General features: G+C 37.5%; 1 long non-coding RNA gene across 1 annotated transcript in view; it reads right to left on the bottom strand.

Annotated features, from left to right (window-relative positions):
- Window positions 1-23,309, bottom strand: part of LINC02398 (long intergenic non-protein coding RNA 2398) — an 84,184-nt gene that overhangs the window by 35,762 nt on the left and 25,113 nt on the right. The window lies entirely within an intron of this gene.

Here is a 23,309-nt window from a genome sequence, read left to right as displayed (position 1 = left end):
TACTCAAAACCACTGAAATGTCCACTTTAAAATGGTGAGTTTTTATGATATGTGAAGTATAGCTTAATAAAAATAATTTCAACAAGTAATACAAAAACAAAAGCTAGATCTTTAGTCACCAAGGCTGCATTAAAAAATTACCCCCAAAACATGGTGGCGGAAAACAACCATTTACTTTGGTCATGTATTATGCGGTTCAGGAATTCAAATAAGACAGAGTAAGATGGCTTTGGTCTGTGATGTCTGGTACCTCAGCTGGAAGGCTTCAAGGGGGTAAAATAATCTGCAGGCTCACTCATTCACATGTCTGGCAGTGGACGCTTGGTTGACATGTTAAGGCTGAGACCTTAGCTGGGGATGTTGTCTGTAGCACTTTCCTATGGCCTGGGCTTTCTCACAGCATGGTGGCCAGGTTCCAAGGACAAATGTCTCAATAGAGAGAGAAGAGACAGCCAGGTGGAAGCTGCTTCACCTTTTGTGACCTAGCCTGTCAGAAGTCACCTCCTGTCTCCAGTGCATGCCATCCCTTAGAAGCAAGTCACTAAGGCTAGTGCATATTCAGTACTGGGAATATAAAAATATCTTCTTTCTTTGGAGAAATGTCAATATCACACTGCAAGAAAAGCACAGGAATAGGCTATATTTGAAAACAAAATCTGCCACGGTGTTTAATAATCATATCTTCCTGAAAAACAGGTATAATCTACTCAATGTAAATTTTGCAAAATGGAAGCCCTGAGATTCTGCATATAAGCCATTAGACTTAAAGCAAAAACAACATGAAAAAATTTCTTCAACAGTATGACAATGACATTTAAAAGCTGTATTTATCCTGAGCACACTTTTCTGTGTGTATTCAAGCAAACTCATTTATTCATTTATTGAACAGAAATGTATTATGCCAAATATTCTTTTATGCTCTGGGATGTACGAGTGAGCAAGAAAAGATAAATGGCACCTAGCCTTCACAAGAAAAAAATAACTACAATGGAATTACATAAATGTGGTAAAAAGGAAAAGACGGCATTGTAGGAGCACAGTTTAGTGATTCACTCAGATAACCCAGATCTGTGAATAGCTATAGTATGATATGTGGATTAGGTATTAATAATAAACAAGATTCAGAGAAGACATATTAGTTGCTGGAAAGGAAATCCCTCCCAAAAGTCAGGCCCACATGAAAGAAGGTAGAAATCAGAAAAAGACTTAGGCAATTTAAATAATTAGAGTAAAATAGGATAATTCAGTGGCAGAACTTATCTTCGTTTATCCTCTCCAACTCCTTTCCAGCCTCCATTTTCCCAAACAACCACCCTAGAATAACTTGGTGAGGTAGTCAAGAATTTAGATCCAGGAGCTGGTTTTTTGAAAAGATTAACAAAATAGATAGACCACTAGCCAGACTAATAAAGAGAAAAGAGAGAAGAATCAAATAGACGCAATAAAAAGTGATAAAGGGGATATCACCACTGATCCCGCAGAAATACAAACTACCATCAGAGAATACTATAAACACCTCTACGCAAATAAACTAGAAAATCTAGAAGAAATGGATAAATTCCTCGACACATACACCATCTCAAGACTAAACCAGGAAGAAGTCAAATCCCTGAATAGACCAATAACAAGTTCTGAAATTGAGGCAGTAATGAATAGCCTACCAACCAAAAAAAGCCCATGATCAGATGGATTCACAGCTGAATTCTACCAGAGGTACAAAGAGGAGCTGGTACCACTGCTTCTGAAACTTTCCAAACAATAGAAAAAGAGGGAATACTCCCTAACCCATTTTATGAGGCCAGCATCATCCTGATACCAAAACCTGGCAGAGACACAACAAAAAAAGAAAATTTCAGGCCAATATCCCTGATGAACATCCATGCAAAAATCCTCAATAAAATACTGGCAAACCGAATCCAGCGGCACATCAAAAAGCTTATCCACCACGATCATGTCAGCTTCATCCCTAGGATGCAAGGGTGGTTGAACATATGCAAATCAATAAATGTAATCCATCACATAAACAGAACCAATGACAAAAACCACATGATTATCTCAATAGATGCAGAAAAGGCCTTCAATAAAATTCAACATCCCTTCATGCTAAAAACTCTCAATAAGCTAGGTATTGATGGAACGTATCTCAAAATAATAAGAGCTATTTATGACAAACCAACAGCCAATATCATACTGAATGGGCAAAAGCTGGACGCATTCTTTGAAAACCGGCACTAGACAAGGATGCCCTCTCTCACCACTCCTATTCAACATAGTTTTGGAAGTTCTGGCCAGGGCAATCAGGCAAGAGAAAGAAACAAAGTGTATTCAAATAGGAGGAGAAGAAGTCAAATTGTCTCTGTTTGCAGATGACATGATTGTATATTTAGAAAACCCCATGGTCTCAGCCCCAAATCTCCTTAAGCTGATAAGCAACTTCAGCAAAGTCTCAGGATACAAAATCAATGTGCAAAAATCACAAGCATTCCTATACACCAATAACAGACAAACAGAGGGCCAAATCATGAGTGAACTCCCATTCACAATTTCTCTAAAGAGAATAAAATACCTAGGAATCCAACTTACAAGGGATGTGAATAACCTTTTCAAGAAGAACTACAAACCACTGCTCAATGAAATAAGAGAGGACACAAATGCAAAAACATTCCATCCTCATGGATACGAAGAATCAATGTCGTGAAAATGGCCATATTACCCAAAATAATTTATAGATTCAATGCTACCCCATCAAGCTACCATTGACTGTCTTTACAGAATTAGAAAAAACTACCTTACATTTCATATGGAACCAAAAAAGAGCCCATATAGCCAATAAAATCCTAAGCAAAAAGAACAAAGCTGGAGGCATCATGCTACCTGACTTCAAACTATACTACAAGTCTACAGTAACCAAAACAGCATGGTACTGGTATCAAAACAGATATATAGACCAATGGAATGGAACAGAGGCCTCAGAAATAACACCACACATCTACAACCATCTGATCTTTGACAAACCTGACAAAAACAAGCAATGGGGAAAGTATTCCCTATTTAATAAATGGTGTCGGGAAAACTGGCTAGCCATACACAGAAAACTGAAACTGGGCTCCTTCCTTACACCTTATACAAAAATTAACTCAAGATAGATTAAAGACTTCAAGGTATAAAACCTAAAACCATAAAAACCCCAGAAGAAAACCTAGGCAATACCATTCAGGACATAGGCATGGGCAAAGACTTCATGACACATCAAAAGCAATGGCAACAAAAGCCAAAATTGACAAATGGGATCTAACTAAACTAAAGAGCTTCTGCACAGCAAAAGAAACTGCCATCAGAGTCAACAAGCAACCTGCAGAATGGGAGAAAACTTTTGCAACCTATCCATCTGACAAAGGGCTAATATCCAGAATCTACAAAGAACTTTAAAAAATTTACAAGAAAAAAACAAACAACCCCATCAAAATGTGGGCAAAGGATATGAACAGACAGTTCTCAAAAGAAGATATTTATGCAGCCAACAAACATATGAAAAAAAGCTCATCATCACTGATCCTTAGAGAAATGCAAATCAAAACCACCATGAGATAACATCTCATTCCAGTTAGAATGGTGATCATTAAAAAGTCAGGAAACAACAGATGCTGCAGAGGATGTGGAGAAACAGGAATGCTTTTACACTGTTGGTGGGAGTGTAAATTAGTTCAACAATTGTGGAAGACAGTGTGGTGATTCCTCAAGGATCTAGAACCGGAAATACCATTTGACCCAGCAATCCCATTACTGGATATATACCCAAAAGAGTATAAATCATTCTACTATAAAGACACATGCACACGTATGTTTATTGCAGCACTGTTCACAATAGCAAAGACTTGGAACTAACCCAAATGCCCATCAATGATAGGATTGGATAAAGAAGAATATAAAGAAAAAGAACATAAAGAAAATATGGCACATATACTCCATGGAATATTAGGCAGCCATAAAAAAGGGATGAGTTCATTTCCTTTGCAGGGACATGGATGAAGCTGGAAACCATCATTCTCAGCAAACTAACACAGCAACAGAAAACCCAACACTGCATGTTCTCACTCATAAGTGGGAGCTGAACAATGAGAACACATGGACACTGGGAGGGAACCATCACAAACTGGGACCTGTTGTGGGGGTGGGGGCCTCGGGGAGGGATAGCATTAGGATAAATACCTAATGTAGATGACGGGTTGATGGGTGCTGGAAACCACCATGGCATGTGTATTCCTAGGTAACAAATCTGCACATTCTGCACACAAATCCCAGAACTTAAAGCATAAAAAAAAAAAAGATTTTAGGTAATTGCACAATTACCTAAATTCTGGAACTCCACAATTCTGGAACTTCAAAAGTTCCAGAAACGTGTGAAGTCCTAAAAAATGTAAATACTGTTTTTATAAACAAAAATTTAACTGACCCACATAATAACTTTTATGTGACATTACTATGCCCATGTCCCTAGAGTTAATATGTTTATTAAATGTATCACTCCTCACTGTGTTTAATCATTAAAGTACAGCTTAGCCCTAACCAATCATTTCCAGAAATTTTCATATTCTGTAGTCACACTGATGTTAAGCAGCATTTTCCTTAAAACGCTTTGAATGGAACTGGGTTTCCCTCCCCCCAGCCTTAATTATTTTAGATAAAAGAACATGAAAGTAGTGACAACATAATTATAGCTTTATGCAGCTGAAATTCAATCTCTTTATCAAGTTACATAAAAGAAACAGAGGACACTAATTCACCCAGAGGACAGAACCAACAGCTGTAAGTTTTCCTGTCCAAGGTGGTTTGTCTCTGAAAAAGGAGCTTGCAGTCTTGTGAAATGCCATCTGGGATGAAGTGACTCCTGCCATTTTGAACACAAAAATACAAAACAACTGCAACCAAGGAGATACTTTAGTCTGATTTTGAAACCACAGGATAAAAAGTTATTTTTAGTGCAGCTAAAATCCCTATAGGTGAAACTAGCTTATCTTTCTTTTCAAAAGTGAGAAAAGTAGTTTAGGAAAGGCCTTTTGGAAAACTCACCTTCTTAATTTTTTTTTTCTTATTGTCTAGAATACAGTCCTACTCCTTTCTGCTTTATCCTCCTTCCCCATCTCCCAACCTCACCTGAACTCTTGTCATTGCATATTGTGGTCTCTTCTATTTCCAACATTAGACTGCAAGCTCTTTGAGGGCAGGAACTGGTTTCACTGTATGTATATACTAACAGCTGGCATTTGTGGACACACAAAGAATGTTTCATGAAAGAAAGAATAGGAAGGAAGGGAGGAAAATAGGAAAGAAGAAGAAGGAAGGAAGGGAGGAAGGGGGAAGAAAAGAAGGAGAGAGGGAAGAAAACAAGAGAGGAAGGAAGGAAAGAAGGAAGGAAGAAAGGAAGGAAGGAAGGGGGAAGGGGGGGGGGGGAAGGGGGGAGGGAGGGAAGTAAGGGCAGATAGAGGGAAGCTAGCGAAGCGAGGAGTGAGCGAAAAATTGATTTTGAAGATTGAAGCAAATTTGACAATGACAGAACGTAGGTTCTGAGCAGTATTTTAGATTTTTTATTTTTATTTGTTTAGGTTTAATATTTTGACTTCAATAGGAACTAGGATGAGGGTTTCATTTTCTCTCACACTGTTTTTTACTGATCTACATGAAAGTAACGTCTGACTTACAATGAATAGGTTACACATTTAAGCACTGTTGCCATTGATGTTGCTAGGAAGTGAGGGCAGGGTTATATTCTGAGATTTTTCTCACAGACTCCTTTTTTCCCTGCATTTCCTCCAGATTTGTAATATGAGGGAGTTAAAGGTAATCACGAAGACTGAAACACAAAACCACCTTGCATTTTACTACAATCTTTCTCACAACTCCAGTTAACATGTTCAATTGTACCAACTTTATTACTCATCAAAAAAAGAGGTATCTCGAAATACAAATTACTTTTTGATGGGCTTACATCACTATCACTTCATCACAGAGAGCTCAACAGTGTTACTGTGAAAGCAAAGGGGCATTACCATCTAGGGGCCATCTTTGCGAGTTAAATTCATAGTAGTTTAAAAAAAAGGTGCTCATGATACTTCGCAGACTCAGACTTTATTGCTAGAAACTGCATTATTTCTTTGTTGATCTCTAGTTGTTAAAAATAATATTCTCAATATAAATATTGTGGAATGAATTCTGAATAGAAGTTATAGATACCGAAAGAAAAGCCTGTATAATGATATGCATTCATATGATGTCAACCTACGATGATAAACCTTGACACAGAAATCTGGAAACAAAGAAATGTTGGTTTGCTTTTTCAAAATCGGAAACATGGATAAGTTGCCTAAACTTATATTTGAGAACTAAACCAAGCTGGAACTCCTTCCATATTTTGGAGAGGTCAAATATCCTTAAATAAATACATAAGGATGAGTGAAACTTTTAAAGACTTAGAGTCATTTGGGCTGTAGCCCTTATACCTGGAACAACAAACCATTCCTGGTCATGAGCTTACTGGTGTCAAAAGACACTTGCAGAACAAATCTGGCCGCCATGTTTGTGCCTCACATGGAAGAACCAGTCTGTTATCAAGGGATACCACTGGTGATTTCATGGTGTTGCATGTATTTCATGTCACTGGTGAAAATAATTTTCATTGTCCTTATTCCCTGAGGGAATCATACAAAGGGCACAATTTAAAAAGCCATGTAACTATGATCAAAGTTCTATATAATATCTATAAAATCCTTAGATTTTAGAAAGATCTAGCTTGGTTAATGAATAGAAGATTAATGAGGTTTTAAATGTTTTCATCACAATTGGTTAATAAATTAACTAAGAAAACTCAGCATATTAAGTGTCTCAAGAATCGTGTCATAATGTACAGCTTTTAGAAATAATATGCTATTGTTCATCAAAATGTTATTTGGTCTATTACACCGGTTCTTGTGAATTTAACTTCAGATCTTTTTAGAGGGATCTGACACATAATGACACATAAATCTTGTTGGGATCCAAAATAGAATTGAGCTCAAATATTTGACATGACTTTTATGGAGACAGAGTTTCTATTCCAAAAAAGGCAAAGCAGTATCTAATTACCATAAGACATAGCAACTATCGAGAATCATATACTAAAAATATGCCCAGGAAGCCCTATTTTATTCTCAGGGATGAGGATTTAAGATTAAAGAACATTTTAATAAATAAGAGAAGACATAGGCAGAAGAAACCCAGTAAACAAAATTTGTTTTGTGATGTTATTTAATTTTTTGTCTTTCCAAAAGTGGAATCATGATACGTGCCCAATAAAAGTAAGTAATTTATTACTAGAACATTAAACAGGTTGTAGGCATAGGATTCAAGTTATTTTGGTATCCCATCTGGCAGGATCTTGTGACTAAAACCGATGAATACTAATCTAATCTATATGCCTTGGAGATAATTCTTCATAAAATTTCCTAGGGAAATATGATGGTCCAAATCACAGTGGATATGTGGTCGGGGGCAAATCATGAGGTCAGGAGTTCAAGACCAGCCTGGCCAACATGGTGAAACCCAGTCTCTACTAAAAGTACAAAAAATTAGCTGGGCGTGGTGGCATGCGCCTATAATTCCAGCTACTCGGGAGGCTGAGGCAGGGGAATTGCTTGAACCCAGGATGCGGAGGTTGCAGTGAGCCAAGATCATGCCACTGCACTCAAGCCCGGGCGACAGTGCGAGACTCCATCTCAAAACAAAAACAAAAACAAAATATTTCTTATTTTGATTGTCACAGAATTGTAAAATTTTGCTTATTTTTATGTATCAAAATAAAGGAAGAACTGATTTCCAAAGCCAACATGAAAGAGAAAATTGCATATTATCTTACAAATTATGCCGTTTTGATGGCTAATTCCTGTGTTTCCAGAAAGCTGATTCTTAATGATCCAAACTCTCTACATTGTACAGTTACGGTCATGATTGCTATAAAAGCAACTATGGCTAATTATAACCAAGTAAATGTAAACACCATATTTATTTGAATAATGAATTCATGGTAAGAAATGCTCTAGATGAATGTCAAGAACATCTTTCAAAGTATGAAAATATAAAGAGGTCATGATGACTCTTAAAAGTTCTAGTTCCCTATATGGCCAAATATCATGTGTGAACTGATTGTAATGTTTCCCAGCCAAGTGAGTAAGTAAGATAAATAGAATCAACTGGTCTCCATTAATAAGTGTAGCTAATTGATCAGTTCTGAGAAGGGCACTGGACTCTAATGGCCTCAGAGTAATTGAAGTAGTCTATGCTATTAACAATTTGTAGTCGAGGAAACTAAAGCACGGAAATAATCAGAGAAAAGCAGTCGTCATTCCAGCGCTGGGACCTACAAGTCCTAAATCACATCTTGACTTACTACTAAATTATGTTCCAGGGAGTTTCCTGTTTTCTTATTACCAGTCTTTATTTTAGATTGGGTTTGAAAAACTTCTCACGTTGCTTTCAGTGATTTATTTTCTAGTACAATTAGATATAATGATTAAAACATTTAACTTTTTTTTTTTCCGTGAACTTGGATAACATCTAAACAGACTCCCCCTTCCCATACTCTATAAGCAAATAGGACAGAGTGGTCACAAAGAAGTGCATGCTTTCTCTGTCAAGGTTAAACTAAAACTGACAATAATATACTAGAACAGAAAACAAAAACACTAGAGGATTAGTTTTTTGGTTGTTGTTCTCCCCTTTCTTTAAAAGCAAATAGTCATTTAGCAACATATCAAAGAGTCTTATTGGGAAAATATATCTTCGTGTTATCAGTGTTACTGCACATATTCCATGACCGAGAACAGAACAATAATTATCCTGCCAAGCAAATCATAAATTATAAATATATTTTCAATTCTTCCCTATTTTGAAAGCTCTGTAAATTTTATGCATTGAATTATCATGGAACGGAAATTCAGTAAACATGAAGGCAAGTTGATTCTTCTAGTTTAGAAAGGCTTTGTTCAACATAATCAAGAAAACTCCATCTTAAAACTTCTTAAAATCAGGCCAAGTGTCTCAGGAACCACAGGCTTCTGTATAATGTAACTGTATAGAAGAACAAATGAAGCAATTAAAGCAAATGGTGATTGCAACATCATTTTATGTGTGCATACTTCTGTAACTGAGCAAATGAATTAAATTAGATTAGCCTGTAATGGTGATCAATGGACTTAAGCTGTCTGAAAATTATACAAGGTATTAATTGTATATAAGAAAAACTTATATACAATTGTCTTATATAGGCTTATATTGACTTATATAGAATTGTCTCCAGGGCATATAGATTACAAGATTAGTATTCATTAGTTTTAGTCACAAGACTCTGCCAGTTTTATATATTATATATAAATGATATAATGATATAGAACTGCTTTAAGTCAATGAAATATATTCAGAATTGGATTTTTTCAAGTATAGGGAAAGAAAATTAAGACACACAATTAAACATGATTTACAGTCATTTAAAAGTGTTTCCTAACTACAGAAATACAACCTGAATCCAGGTTGTTAAATTAAAAGACTAGGAAAACTTACAATTGTCTTTCTTAATAGAAGGCTTGAATATATAAAAGAGTATAATAGATAAATAATAAAAAATGGAGGGTAATAAATGTGTGTTTGTGTTAATCTTCTTCCTGCTGACCATGTCTTTAAATGAGTGTTAATGATTCCTAAGTGGGTTTTATTTGTCCGTTTTATTCCTCCAGTTCATGCCTGATTCCCTAACTAAGCTGTGCAGTCAATGTACATAGTTATTGTTTATTGTTTATTACATGAATTAAAAACAATCAGCAGAAACAATAAAAACACAGATGCTCAATAAATATCTGTAAACAAAATGAATATATGGAACTAGAGAAATAAAAACTCTAGATACTCCACAAAATAATCTTCTCCATGACTAAACTGCAGTTTGAACATTTAACTATATGAAAAGTCACATTAAGCAACACACATACACACAAGTAGAAATTTAATAAGAATTTGTTGAAGCCTGGTGTGGTGGCTCAAGCCTGTAATCCCAGCACTTTAGGAGGTCGAGGTGGGTGGATTACTTGACGTCAGGAGTTCAAAACCAGCCCGGCCAACATGGTGAAACCCCTTCTCTACTAAAAATAAAAATAAATAAATAAATAAAAATTAGCCAGGGATGGTGGTGCACACCTGTAATCCCAGCTGCACGGCAAGCAGAGGTTGAACTCAGGAGGTGGAGGTTGCAGTGAGTGCAGATCACAGCACTGCACTCCAGCCTGGGTGACAGAGTGAGACACTGTCTCAAAAAAAAAAAGAGAAGAAGAATTTGTTGAATTTAGTATGATGGGAGTAGACCCCCCGAAATATTGACTATTTTTCCCAAATAAATAGCTTTTTGTAATTAAAGTATTATATTAACTTTGGATTTTATTTAACGTGTTATATTCACACTACACTTATTAAAAAATAATTTCACTTGATCATCTTGAATGCAAATATAAGAAGGAAACTAATTACTTATTTTCTACAATGGACTTTACTAGACGATGAAGGTGCTAAAAATTATGTTTAAACAAACAATGGGAAAGGCCGTTTCATAGTCCTTTATTACTATTGGAATTTGGAGCTATAGCAGGCCATTAAATACATAAAAGTGACTTACATTCAGCCCTGAAATATCCTGGCATTACTCTACTGCTATCACTCAGACTGTACCCCTTAGACTCACATCACAATGAAGTGCTTTTGGGTACTAAGGCAAAATCTCTCCATGTCTCACATCTCAATGAATCTCTGTTTATAGTGTAATAGCAATAATGTAATACTGTATAATGTAATTTCAATTCCTTTTACACTTTATAGTATAATAGGAATTGTGAATTTGAGAATTCGCAATTGTCTTTGGTTCAAGTACAAGCACCATCTCTAAAGGTCACCAACCACCTTCCCAAAGTCACTAAAATCTGCCCCCTACTTAACTATCCAGCTGAATTTCAAGGCTCTCTGACTCTTATGCCACCTCAGTCTTCCTTCCAGCCGTAGGAAACTACTTGCAATTCCACCAACATCCCCCACTCTCTTTCACACCTCCAAGCATGTGCACTTCTTATTTCTTCTGTTTCAAACTCCTTCTTCCCTCCTGCACTGACTCCTTCATCTTGTTAAAACCACTTACCTCTCAAATCTCACACTTGATTCATCCTTCTCCTTTATCAAATCTTTCATGATCAACAAGACTGGATGAAACACCTATCAAGTGTTTATTAGTTATACAGCAATTGCCATTTTACCTGTCTCTCCCCACTACAGTGGGAATACAGAATGTTTTCATTGTTCTCAGGAATCCCCAAAGCCTGGAATTTTACCTTGTATATATGGCAGATACTCAACAAATACATGCTAATGAATGGAGAATAAGTAGAAGTAGAAAGACAATGAATACATTAAAAGTTCTTTTTTTTTCAAAAAAAAATTTTTTTTTGAGACAGTCTCACTCTGTCGCCCAGGCTGGAGTGCAGTGGCGCCATGTCGGCTCACTGCAACCTCCGCTTCCTGGTTCAAGTGGTCTCGCACCTCAGTCTCCCCAGTAGCTAGGATTATAGGTACGTGCCACCACAGCAGGCTAAGTTTTGTATTTTTGGTAGAGACAGGGTTTCACCATGTTGGCCAGGCTGGTCTCAAACTCCTGACCTCAGGTGATCCGCTCACCTCCGCTTCCCAAAGTGCTGGGATTAGAGGTGTGAGCCACCATGCCTGGGCCACATTTTTTTAAAATACATTCATGACTGTGGTAGGCCAAATAGTGACCTCCCAAAGGTCACTCCCTGTCATCATTCCTAGAACCTGTAAATAGTTTACCTGGCAAAGGGAAATTAAGGTTGCAGATGGAATTAAGGTTGCTAACCAGCTGACCTTAAAATGGAGTGATTATTCCATTCTCAGGAGAGACAGGGAATTGAAAGACATGAGTTGGGAGAAGGTCAAACAGATCGTGAAGCTCCTTCAGTTCAGCATATCAAAGCACCATATTTTGGAATATTGGTTTCTGAGCCCAAACATGCTTATCCTCGTCAGTCAAGTTACTCACAATTATAAAATCAGTTTGTACAGTGAAGCTTCCAACTCTACATAAGAAGTTAAAAGGGAAATTTGAAGTCTAAAAGTAAGAAAAATGTCCTTATTCATCAGGAACACAAAGACTTTATGTGACAATCTCAAACTCTTCCAGAAAACCATAGGAGAAAATCAGTTTCTCTCATCCTTAAAACAGGCCCGAGAATGAAAACAATCACAAACAGCCAGTGATTTGGTTGTCTCTTCCTCACTTGGTTCTTGGGTTAGCTGGATGGCTGACTACTCGTGGAAACTGATTGTTAGATGTGGTAAACCAACCAGCATAGCTCTTTGTGAAGGGAATTAATAGTATGAATACATAGTAATTAACCTTAAGCTTCTAGTAATTAACCATAAATAGACCAGACTGTTCAATTCATTCAGATTTCAGGGAAAAGAAGCCACAGACTGCAGTGTGCTTAGTACTTCAATGAGTCTATCCGCAAAATATTTTTGCTTTTAAAAAAAATTATTTGGCTAGTGCCTCGAAAAAAGTGTTTGACCGAAGTGTTTTGAATCAATGACTTCCTGTAGACAGCCTCAATATAGGGTGCTGCACAGAAGCCAAGAATGGAGCAATCTGCAAAAGATTTCAGCTGGCTGAACTCTGTTGGGGAGTTTCAGGGCAATGTTTGAAATAAGTGTTCATCCTGAAAATGTTTACCTTAAACTTGCCTTCCTGTTTTGTTTTATTTTGAAATCTGCTTTTCAGCTGTAAGAATGCCATCACAATGTTTGCTTACCTAATTGGCTTCATAAAGCAAGTATTGTCCAGATGTGGCTTTAGTGTTCTATACACTCCACAAAGTAGTGTACATAAAGAGAAGCTTCTTTGGTACTGCAATGTCACGTCTTTATTTCCATGTGTAACACTGATATGCAGTCATGTATTTTAACAATAATGTAGATTATCAAAGAGATTGTGGTTACAATACATTCTTGAGTCATCTTATGTTCTTAAAAACTTAAATACATGGGTGAATAGAACCAATTCCTTTGATTTTCTCCAAGTAGTATATAAACCTAAGTACTTCATTACAAAGGAAGAGCCTCCTGATTTTAATGGACTCTTCTTTTGCCTGAAAAAGTATTATTGGATGTCAGCCAAATGTGATCTTATATTTTTCTCAAGTTTCTGGTATTTTCACCTAAGTTATTCTTCATTTCTTCTTGTCAACTGCTGTGACTACATCCTTTTCAAAGTTAACAATGTCTGTCTCTACTTTTCCTTCCATATCTATTATCACGCTTGGTTGAAATTATCTCCTGCCTAAACATTTTCAATTTTCCTTGAAACTGTTTTTAATTTTTAATTTTTTTTCTTTTTTTGAGACATGATGTCTCTCTGTCGCCCAGGCTAGAGTGCAGTGGCACAATCTCCACTCACTGCAGCCTCCACTTCCCAGGATCAGGTGATCTTCCCACTTCAGCCTCCCGAGTAACTGAGACTACAGGTGCATGCCATCACCCCTGGCTAATTTTTTGTATTTTTAGTAGAGACAGGGTTTTGCCATGTTGCCCAGGCTGGTCTTAAACTCCTGGGCTCAAGCAATCTACCTCCTCAGCCTCTCAAAGTGCTAGGATTATAGGCGTGAGCCACCGCGCCTGGCCAAAACTGTTATCTAGCCTACAAGTCTTATATGCCCCAGTCCATCCTACAAGTCTCCCTCTTAAAAACATTCAATTCCCCTCAAACAAAACAAAACAAAACAAAACAAAACTCTTCAACTCCCCCCTTTGCCAACAAGATAGAATATCTTAATACCATAAATTATTACTCACCTATATATACATTATGCTCCAGCTAAAATGGGGAATAAACTATGGTGTCTTGAAACACATTTTATAACTTCTTTTATTCCCCCCCACACAGAAGGCTTTTATTCATTTTTGTTTATCCAGAGTAGGCTTCACAGGAAACTTCAGCTTTCTACAGTCTCTCTCTCATATCTCTGTTCTCATATACTTTGTCTATCCTAGTTATTTTAGTCAGTTGTGTTTTGCCTTGTAAAATTCTTTGTAATGTATCCTTTATTGGTAATTTTTTTTGTGCTGTGTTAATCCAAATCCTGAGGTTCTGTGAAGGACTTCAGTTTATAGTTCAACAAGAATAAGTTCAACAAGAATAGCTCTGTTTGGATGAGAATAAAGTTTGACAACGAGTGACATATACTATTACTCAGCTCTTAAACCCGTATTTAAGAGCTAGAGAAAAGAGAAACTGATTTTTTTTCACTTTAATTTGCATCTGAAGTATTTTATATATAACAGAGGCCAAAGAAACATTTAAATATCAGTTAAGGCTTTACCTCTAGTGAGTAACTTAAAACATGCAATTCCTACAATAAAACATAAATACTTAATTTTAAGAAGCAGTTTTTCATCTCACCTGAAAGTATATCCTGAAAGGGTTACATAGTAAGTTCCTGACCTGCTAAGGAAGACTAGGTAGCTATTTCAGCAGAAATGTCATGACATCCACATTTCTACCTAATGGAAGAACAATTTTTAGCTTGGAATCCAGGCAGAATTTTCTCACTAAAAGTGGGCCAATTTTCGTGACCAGCCTGGCCAACACGGTGAAACCCCATCTCTACTAAAAATATAAAAATTAGCCTGGTGTTGTGGCAGGCATCTGTAATCCCAGCCACTCAGGAGGCTAAGGCAGGAGAATCACTTGAACCCGGGAGGTGGAGGTTGCAGTGAGCCCAGATCGCACCATTGCACTCCAGCCTGGGGACAAGAGTGAGACTTTGTCTCAAAAAAAAAAAAAAAAAGTGTACCAATTTAACCTCTCCTAACCATGTCACACACAAAGTTCAGAAATTAGAAGAATGTGTTTGTGGTATAATACAAAAAATATACATATCTGGTTGTTGTTGCTCATTCCTGGCACAAGGCTTCAAAAACTCTTAGAATTTCCTAAGTGATAAGAAGAGTCTTTTTTATGTTAATAGGGCAACTCAGGGTGGGACCCTGAATAACTTCAGGTTGGGGTCTGGTCACCAGAAAGGCCAACTATGTGATTAGAGCATTGGAACTTCGCACCAACTAAACCTCTGGGAAGGGGAGAATGACTGGAGATTTAGTCCAATCACATGGCCAATGATTTAATCAATCATGCCTGCAAAATACAATTCCAATAAAATCTCTGGACACTAGGGCTCACTGGAGACTCCTGGTTGGTAAACGCATTGATATGGAGGACGGTGACATGCCTGGATTCCAGGAGAATAGGGCATAGAACTGTGTACTTCTCACCTTCCACCCTAACCTTGCCCTATGCCTCTCTCCATTTGTCTGTTTCTGATCTATATTCTTTACTCAAAAAACTATAATCACAAATATGGCACCTTCAGTGAGTTCTGAGTCATTGTAGCAAATTATTGAACCTGAGGTGGGTGTAAAAAGCCCTGGATTTTTGGCCAGCCAGGAAGAGGTGAGGGTAGTTTGGAGGCACTCAAATTTGTGGCTGGCATCTGAAACTGAAGAAGTCTTGTGACAAACTTTGTTCTTAACTTGTGCAATGCTATGGATTGAACACTTGATTCTCCCCAAAATGTGTATGTGGAAATCCTAAATCCAAGGTGATGATATGAGGAAGTTGAGCCTTTGGGAGGACAGAACCTTCATGATTAGGATGATAAAAAACAGACCCCAGAGAGCTAGCTCACCTAGAGCCAAGACAAAGATAGAGATACTTGAAGACACTGTTTGAGAATATATGTCTGGAGGAGTCATAACTAAAGTTATATCCACCTCCTGGGCTTTTTGATCATGTGAGCCAATAAGTTCATGTTTAGATTAAGACTGAATTGAATTTCCATCACTGACAAACCAAAATAACCCTGATTCACTTATATAACATTACCAAGAATAGGCCCCGCGCGGTGGCTCACGCCTGTAATCCCAGCACTTTGGGAGGCCGAGGTGGGTGGATCACGAGGTCCAGAGTTTGAGACCAGCCTGACCAACATGGTGAAACCCTGTCTCTACTAAAAATAGAAAAATTAGCTGGGCGTGGTGGTGCCTGCCTGTAAACCCAGATACTCAGGAGGCTGAAGCAGGAAAATCGCTTGAACCCGGGAGGCAGAGGTTGCAGTGAGCTGAAATTGCACCACTGCACTCCAGCCAGGTGACAGAGCTAGACTTTGTCTCAAAAAAAAACAACAAAAAAATTACCAAGAATAATATCTAGATTTTACCAACAAATGAAACAGAAACTATCTTTATATTAAATGTATATGAATTATTCTATAACTGTGACATATGATGCCTTAAGCCCAATGGCAAATAAATGAAAGCTTCAGTGTAATTGCTCATGAGAGTGGAAGCTGATTGCAGTAAATACTTTTCCTGGGAGCTTGGCTTCATTTTTCACCTATCCTTTATTTTCCACTAGCCCTTCTAATAATTTACTCAAGGAGGTTGGGGAACATGCTGGACACAGCAAGCAGAAGACATGGGAAAAGTGAGCTGAGACCACACCTTCTCAGCCCAAACAGGTGCCATTATTTTCACACTTGTCATTTTTGGATCATTTGTTTATTTAAGTTTAGTATCAAATTAGGAACTGTGTTTAGGTATGGAAAATTCCCTCCTCCTTTCCATATATGCATTATATCCAAATTTGTGCATCTTTTTTTCCTTTTCAGTAAATATTAATTTAAGGCTTCTAAAAGAAGAGAGTCTTGTACAAACAACCTTATCACTTCAGAGTCATCCATCTCTTTTTAATTTTTTATTTTAATATTATTATTATTTTTTGAGATGGGGTCTTGCTCTGTCGCCAGGCTGGAGTGCAGTGGCGAGATCTCAGCTCACTGCAACTTCCGCCTCCCAGGTTCAAGCGATTCTCCTGCCTCAGCCTCCCGAGTAGCTGGGACTACAGGCACGGGCCACCATGCCCAGCTAACTTTTGTATTTTTAGTAGAGATGGGGTTTCACCATGTTGGCCAGGATGGTCTCGATCTTTTGACCTTGTGATCCGCCCACCTGCACCTCCCAAAGTGCTTGGATTACAGGCATGAGCCACCGTGCCCGGCCTCATTCATCTACTTTTAGGAAAGGTATTGGAGGCATCCCTTCCCTAGGCTACAAAGCTCGTACACTGTGGGATGATGTCACATAAAGGAGCACAAACCCTAACGAAGAATTCTGTTAGTTCTAGGGAGCAAGAAAAATGCAAAGCAAAGTCTCTACTATTCTCCACTGTATATTTCATTTGTCCACACACTCATAGATATAAAAGAGCTTCGAAGGACACATAAGGAGGCCACGTTAGTGAACACTATATGTTTTTGTAAAGAGATAGTCATATTTCTTTTACCAAAAATGTGCCACCATGATGATTTAAAATGCCATGCTGAGACCCCATAGTCAGTGATAGCATTAAAGAACATAGAAGATATCCTGGCTAACACGGTGAAACCCGGTCTCTACTAAAAATACAAAAAATTAGCCGGACGTGGTGGCGGGCACCTGTAGTCCCAGCTACTTGGGAGGCTGAGGCAGGAGAATGGCGTGAACCCGGGAGGCGGAGCTTGCAGTGAGCCGAGACCTGGCCACTGCACTCCAGCCTGGGCGACAGAGCGAGACTCCATCTCTTCAGCACAAAGTAGAGTGATGTCAGCAGTAAAAATTTAGATAAAGTGGCAAAAGAAAGAACTGATAAATTACAATGTGTGGAATCTAGACACTTGAATGTGTTCGAGGAAGCTGTAAAAATTTTTTTTCTAGGATATGGTTCATAATGAAAATACTGTGTACCATATGCTTGCCTTTGGGCAGGGAAAGGACTAGATACATATTTTTAAGCCATTCCCAGCTCTTAAGTCCCAGTCATTTCTAAAATGAAGAAAAAGAGCTGCTGTTGACTGAACCAGTGTGTTTTTCTCTGACTCATGCACATTATTGGCTCAAGGAGAAGAACAGATGTGGGTCATCAGGGTGCATCACCAACTTTTTGGCTGATTTAAACAAGCTAATCTTCTACACCCTGCACTTGCAGATGCGTGGTAATAGCTAACGTTTAACACTTCAAAACAATGGGAGCATCGCTAGTGAAAAGGATACAGATAAAAGTTTTTAACCTTTGTTCTCATCACTTAGAATGTAAAGCATCTCTCGTGAAAGTCAGCCCCAGACACAACTTTATCAAGTGCCATTTTGCAGTAAGTTTAAGAAAGCAATACATTGAATATTCTTTTACTTTTCCCCAATATGGCTGATTCTCTGGTGTTTGCATTCCTTGGCCATGAATTACTAACTCCTGTTATTTTTTGTTTTCCAAGAAAGAATTAATCTGAAAGTATAATTTTTTTTTTCCTGGAGATATTCCGCTCACTTTCTGGCTGTCTACAGATAAGCTGTGTATCTGAATTGATAAAAACCAGATTGTCCAACTACTGATGAAATACTGATAGCACCATGAAAATTTTTGTATAAAACTCTATTAGGATTCCTAACAATGTGCAGGCCTTTGGCCACTTGTGTTCACTGAGGTTAGGCATGCAGCCTAACATTGCCTTGAAAAGCATGGATCTATCCCAAAGCACAGCCAATGTCATACTAAAACACTTAAAGGAGTTACAGACACACAAATTTTAATGATTTAAGGCCAGATTCAATCCTTTGAGACATTTGCATAACTCCCACTAGAAATTAATAGAGGTTGCAAAAATACAAATTTGGGTAAAAGTTTTAACCTTACCCAACTCAGGGATTCAAACATTGTTCTTTAATATCTGCTGGTGCAGAAAACTTTATCTAATGTTGCTCGATATCTAGACTATCTTCTGTTAGCAATTTGGGAAGTTGTCAAAGATACCAGATCATGTTTGTTGAGCTAATATTGTGCTCCACATTTCAGAAGAGGGTCTGGCTACTGCATTGTTCTGTTACTGTTAATGTTATCACTGCGGCTGGTGTTGTTATTAATCATAGACTCGTCATAAATTTATAAGGTGGATATTTGTATTTTAGTTTTATAAATGAAGAAAATGAGTGGTTGAGGGGTTAAGTCATTTTTCTGAAGTAATGCAGCAATGTGGTTTCAAGTCAGGATTTACACCCAAGACACTATACCCTCTACAGGTCAGGCACTTTCACCTACACCAGGATTTACAAATGGCTCAACACAAGCACCACGGGACTGAATACAGAAGAGCAGAGTAGTGAACACCTGAGGATCTGCCCAAAATGTGGGGCCTCCAACCAGCTTAGGCCCAGCCCTGCACAGCCCTGTAGATCTTATTTGTGCCCAGAGGTACAAGAAATAAAAATGTAGAGGGGTAAAAAATGACAGAGGTTGAAAATATAGGCCCTTAGATCAATCAACTCTCTTACTAACTACACTGACTGGTCCAAATAAACTTCTCCATCCTCAGTTCTGTCAGAAAGCAGCAGAAATAAGACCTATTAAGTTATTCATAATATTCAGTAACATCTAGTCAGTTTTAATCTTTTGATATATCTCCTAATTATTATGTACTCAATTTAGAATTTTAGAAAACACCCGTCTCTTACTCCCCTTGTTTTCATCCTTCCTTTTTTCTGAAAATGTAAACTATGGTGCAAGAAAACACCACATTGTTCATCATAAATGAGAAAACTGGAGGTTTATTCAAAAGTGCTAGGTTTACAAAACTGAGCCAAGAATTTATAAGGTGTAGACTTTCTCTGACACCTGACAGCTTGAATTCCTCTGACTGTTTTGACACAGAAATATCAAGACATTAGCTTTCTGGCCCTTCTATATAATACCTTGCCAAACCCACAACATGTAGAAACCTATCAATGTGATAAAGAATATGAAAAACAAATCCTGGGAAAATGATTAAATTCGGTGGAGACTTTATTCCAATAGTCAAATTCATCTTTCTCGGAAGAAGTAGAGGAACCTGCTAACATCGCCTGGGAAAATTTGAAAATGAAATATGTTTACCTCTTTTTACTTATGCAAATAACATCTCAACTTAGTTAAAACAATAGATTCAAAACATCCTGTGATTGAAAGGGCAGATTTTTTTTTCAGTTACTTACCCCAACCGATTAAAAACAGAAAAATCATAATGTATGTCATAAACAGAAGTGACATAAAACATTTTCCCCAAAAAACAATGAAAAATTAGAAACAAATGCAAAAAGAAACACTAGAGAAATAAGAAGAAAAATATAGGTCATGGAGAAAAAGTGGTTTTGACCAAAATAAAGTTTTAAGACATTAAAGAACCAATCCACAGCTTTGATTTTGCCTGTATAATGTAGTTACTAAGGGCATAGGCTCAGCCACTTGATAGCTGGGTCATCTTGGGTAAATTACTTCATCTCTCCTCGTCTTGCTTCCCTCCTTTATATTGTAGCCATACCTACCTCAAATGTTATTATAAAGACTAAGGAATCTGATACTCGTATACTCTTAGAATCTGCACTGGTATATAAAAATATCTTACCGCATAACTGCCAAATAAATGTCACAACTTTATTAAACTTTAAAATGAATTTGAAAGGAAGCCACATTTAGAAAGCTGCTTAATGTATTGAATGCCATATTTTCTACCCTTTCCATGTAATATTGGGGGAGAGAGGAGAAATGCTATAAAGTTGTGCTCATCCTCTTTCAGCATCTTATTCATTTTTTAAGTTCTTACACTTATTTTAGAAGAATGCTGACACTAAACGTGATACAGTAATGAGTAGCAAGGTTAACTGCATCCTACATCTCTTGGTGGGGAGGTTATATTATTTTCTATCACTGTAATTAATTAAATGTTCTGCCTATAGCAAATCAACCATTATGTTAGGAATGGCATTAGATTATTTGCTAAGGTATATGTGTGCAAATATTATACTAACATGGAAGAGATGGAAGATATAATTAAGTCCCCGCAGTTGGTGTCTACATATGGAAAAAGTCAGCCCTCCATATACTCAGGTTTCATATCCCATAAACACTGTATTTCCCATCCACATGTAGTTGAAAAAATATCTCTGCAGTTCAAACCCATGTTGTTTAAGCTTCAACTGTATTATCTAAATATCTATTTTTTTTGAAGTTTGAAGTTTGGTCTAGAGCAGTGGTTTTCAAACTTTAGCATGTATTAGAATCACCTGAGGTCTCTAAAGATGGGTTGCTGGTTCCAATCCCAGAATTTCTGATTCAGTAGATCTGGGATGGGTCTGAATACGTGCATTTCTAACATGTTCTCAAGTGATGGTGATCTGGGAACCACACTTTGAGAACATTTACTTGAGACTTATATATTAGAGTCACTTGGGGAGATTTTTTAAAATACCAATAGTTAGTAAATCAGAATCTTTGGGGGTGGATGGATCTGGGTATCTACATTAAAAAGCAAACAAACAAACAAAAAGCCCTCCCTAGCTGAGTCTATGGTAGAGCCAGAATTGAGGATTCCTGGTCTAGAGAAATGGTTGTCAAGGACGGGTCCAGAATCAGATTCACTTGGAAGTTTTTCCAATGTCCTCCTTTCCCCATATCCAAGGTTGCACGATGCCCTAAGAAGAGGTGGAAATACAATTTTTAAATGTTTCTCAAAATTAATCTTGAGATTATTTTAGTTAAAATTACCTTATATTTATTAAAAATGAAGATCCCTTGCCTACCTACAAAGTCTCAGATGCTTCACACTTTACACAACACACCTGTGTTTGAAAATTAGTGGTGTAGGGTTAAGAAGGAGCGGGTTCTAATTATTTCTTGCAGGTTAGGAAGAGCACTGGAACCTCACAATCAATATAATAACTGGTGAATTCAGAGCTCCATAGCACCAGCCCTAGAGAGGTGAAAGAAGGATCCCTGCAAGCAGGAAGTCAGGACGGAAAGGGGCAGGTGGGCAGGGATAGAAAAGTGAGTGCTGAGTAGACGCTTCTCTCCTTACCAGAACCAGTAACCACCCTGCTGGCTGCTCCTCTAATTTGCCCTGGCACAAGGACAGAATGTGTTCTGCTGATACACGTTTCTAAAGCACCAAGCAGCCTCTGCTGACAGCTGGCTTGGTTGCTGTGTCAATGCAGAAAAAGTGAGAGAGCAAAAGAATTTGGTAAGAAAATATTTTTCTTTACTTTCCCTTCTAAATGGAGGGAAAAATCATGGTGGGGGTGGGGACAGATGGGATGCAAATGTGATTATGTAAGGTACTGAGAACAAGAAAGACTAATGCAAAATGTTTAGGACAGTGGGTATTAAGGAGAGAATTGACTTTGTGGAGCTGTTTGTCTTACTAACAGCCATTCAAAATCCAGCACCATATTACTTGTATGTATTGTTATTCTATTAGCGATGATTTCAAAATGCCTAGAACTATTTCTGGGCATCTGCAAAAGATAAAAGTGAATTAAGAACTCTCACATCACCTTGGAAAGATAAAGACTAGTTATGTGTTGTCAGCCATAGTCTTTCTCCACACGGCTTGCCAGAGTTGTTTTTTTTTTTCTTTTTTCTTTTTTTTTTTTTTTTCAGTTTTATTTCTAGAGCTGATGGTCTTCTGATGCCTTCACACCAAAAGGGAACCCAGCTCCGTTAGCTGGCTTCTAGGTGAATCTCTTGGCTGATGTTGTTTTCCATCAGCCTACAGCTTGGTTGTGCATTGGCAGTTTTATGCAATACTGGGTTCAGCAAAAGAAACAAAGGACAATTGGCTCTACTTAGTGAAATCTGCCTAAAGAATTTTATATCCCAGCATAGGTTTCTAATGAGATTCTCAAAAAAGTAAACAAATTCTAAGATATAAATATCAGTTCACTTATTAATGTCCCATGCTTCTAAGCAGCATTTTTCCATGTGTGCTGTGGATGGTCACTCTAACTCCTTAACAGTCATTTAAAATGTTACAATGAAAAATACACAAAGTACTAAAAATGCATCAAACATATCATAAAGTTGTAAAGTCAAATAATTCCCCTGCGAACTTCACTTGAAATGAGGAAACTGAAAGAGCTTGTTTTCTTTGCACTTTATCTGAAGTAACCAGAGGGTTTTATTTTTGTTAATTTATCAGATTTACTAAGATTGTTCTCATTTAAAGTAAAACTAATTCTAGGAAGATTGCATCTCCTTTGCTGTGCTATTGCTTGGCATTGTTGAAATAATAGCTACTATACCAACATGGCACATCTTTTCAGTAGTCTCATCCATTGTTGCTATT

This window comes from Homo sapiens, chromosome 12, assembly GCF_000001405.40.
Source record: "Homo sapiens chromosome 12, GRCh38.p14 Primary Assembly".
NCBI lineage: Eukaryota > Metazoa > Chordata > Mammalia > Primates > Hominidae > Homo > Homo sapiens.
Note: the sequence above shows the minus strand (reverse complement) of the source record. Positions and strands in the feature narration are given on the sequence as shown.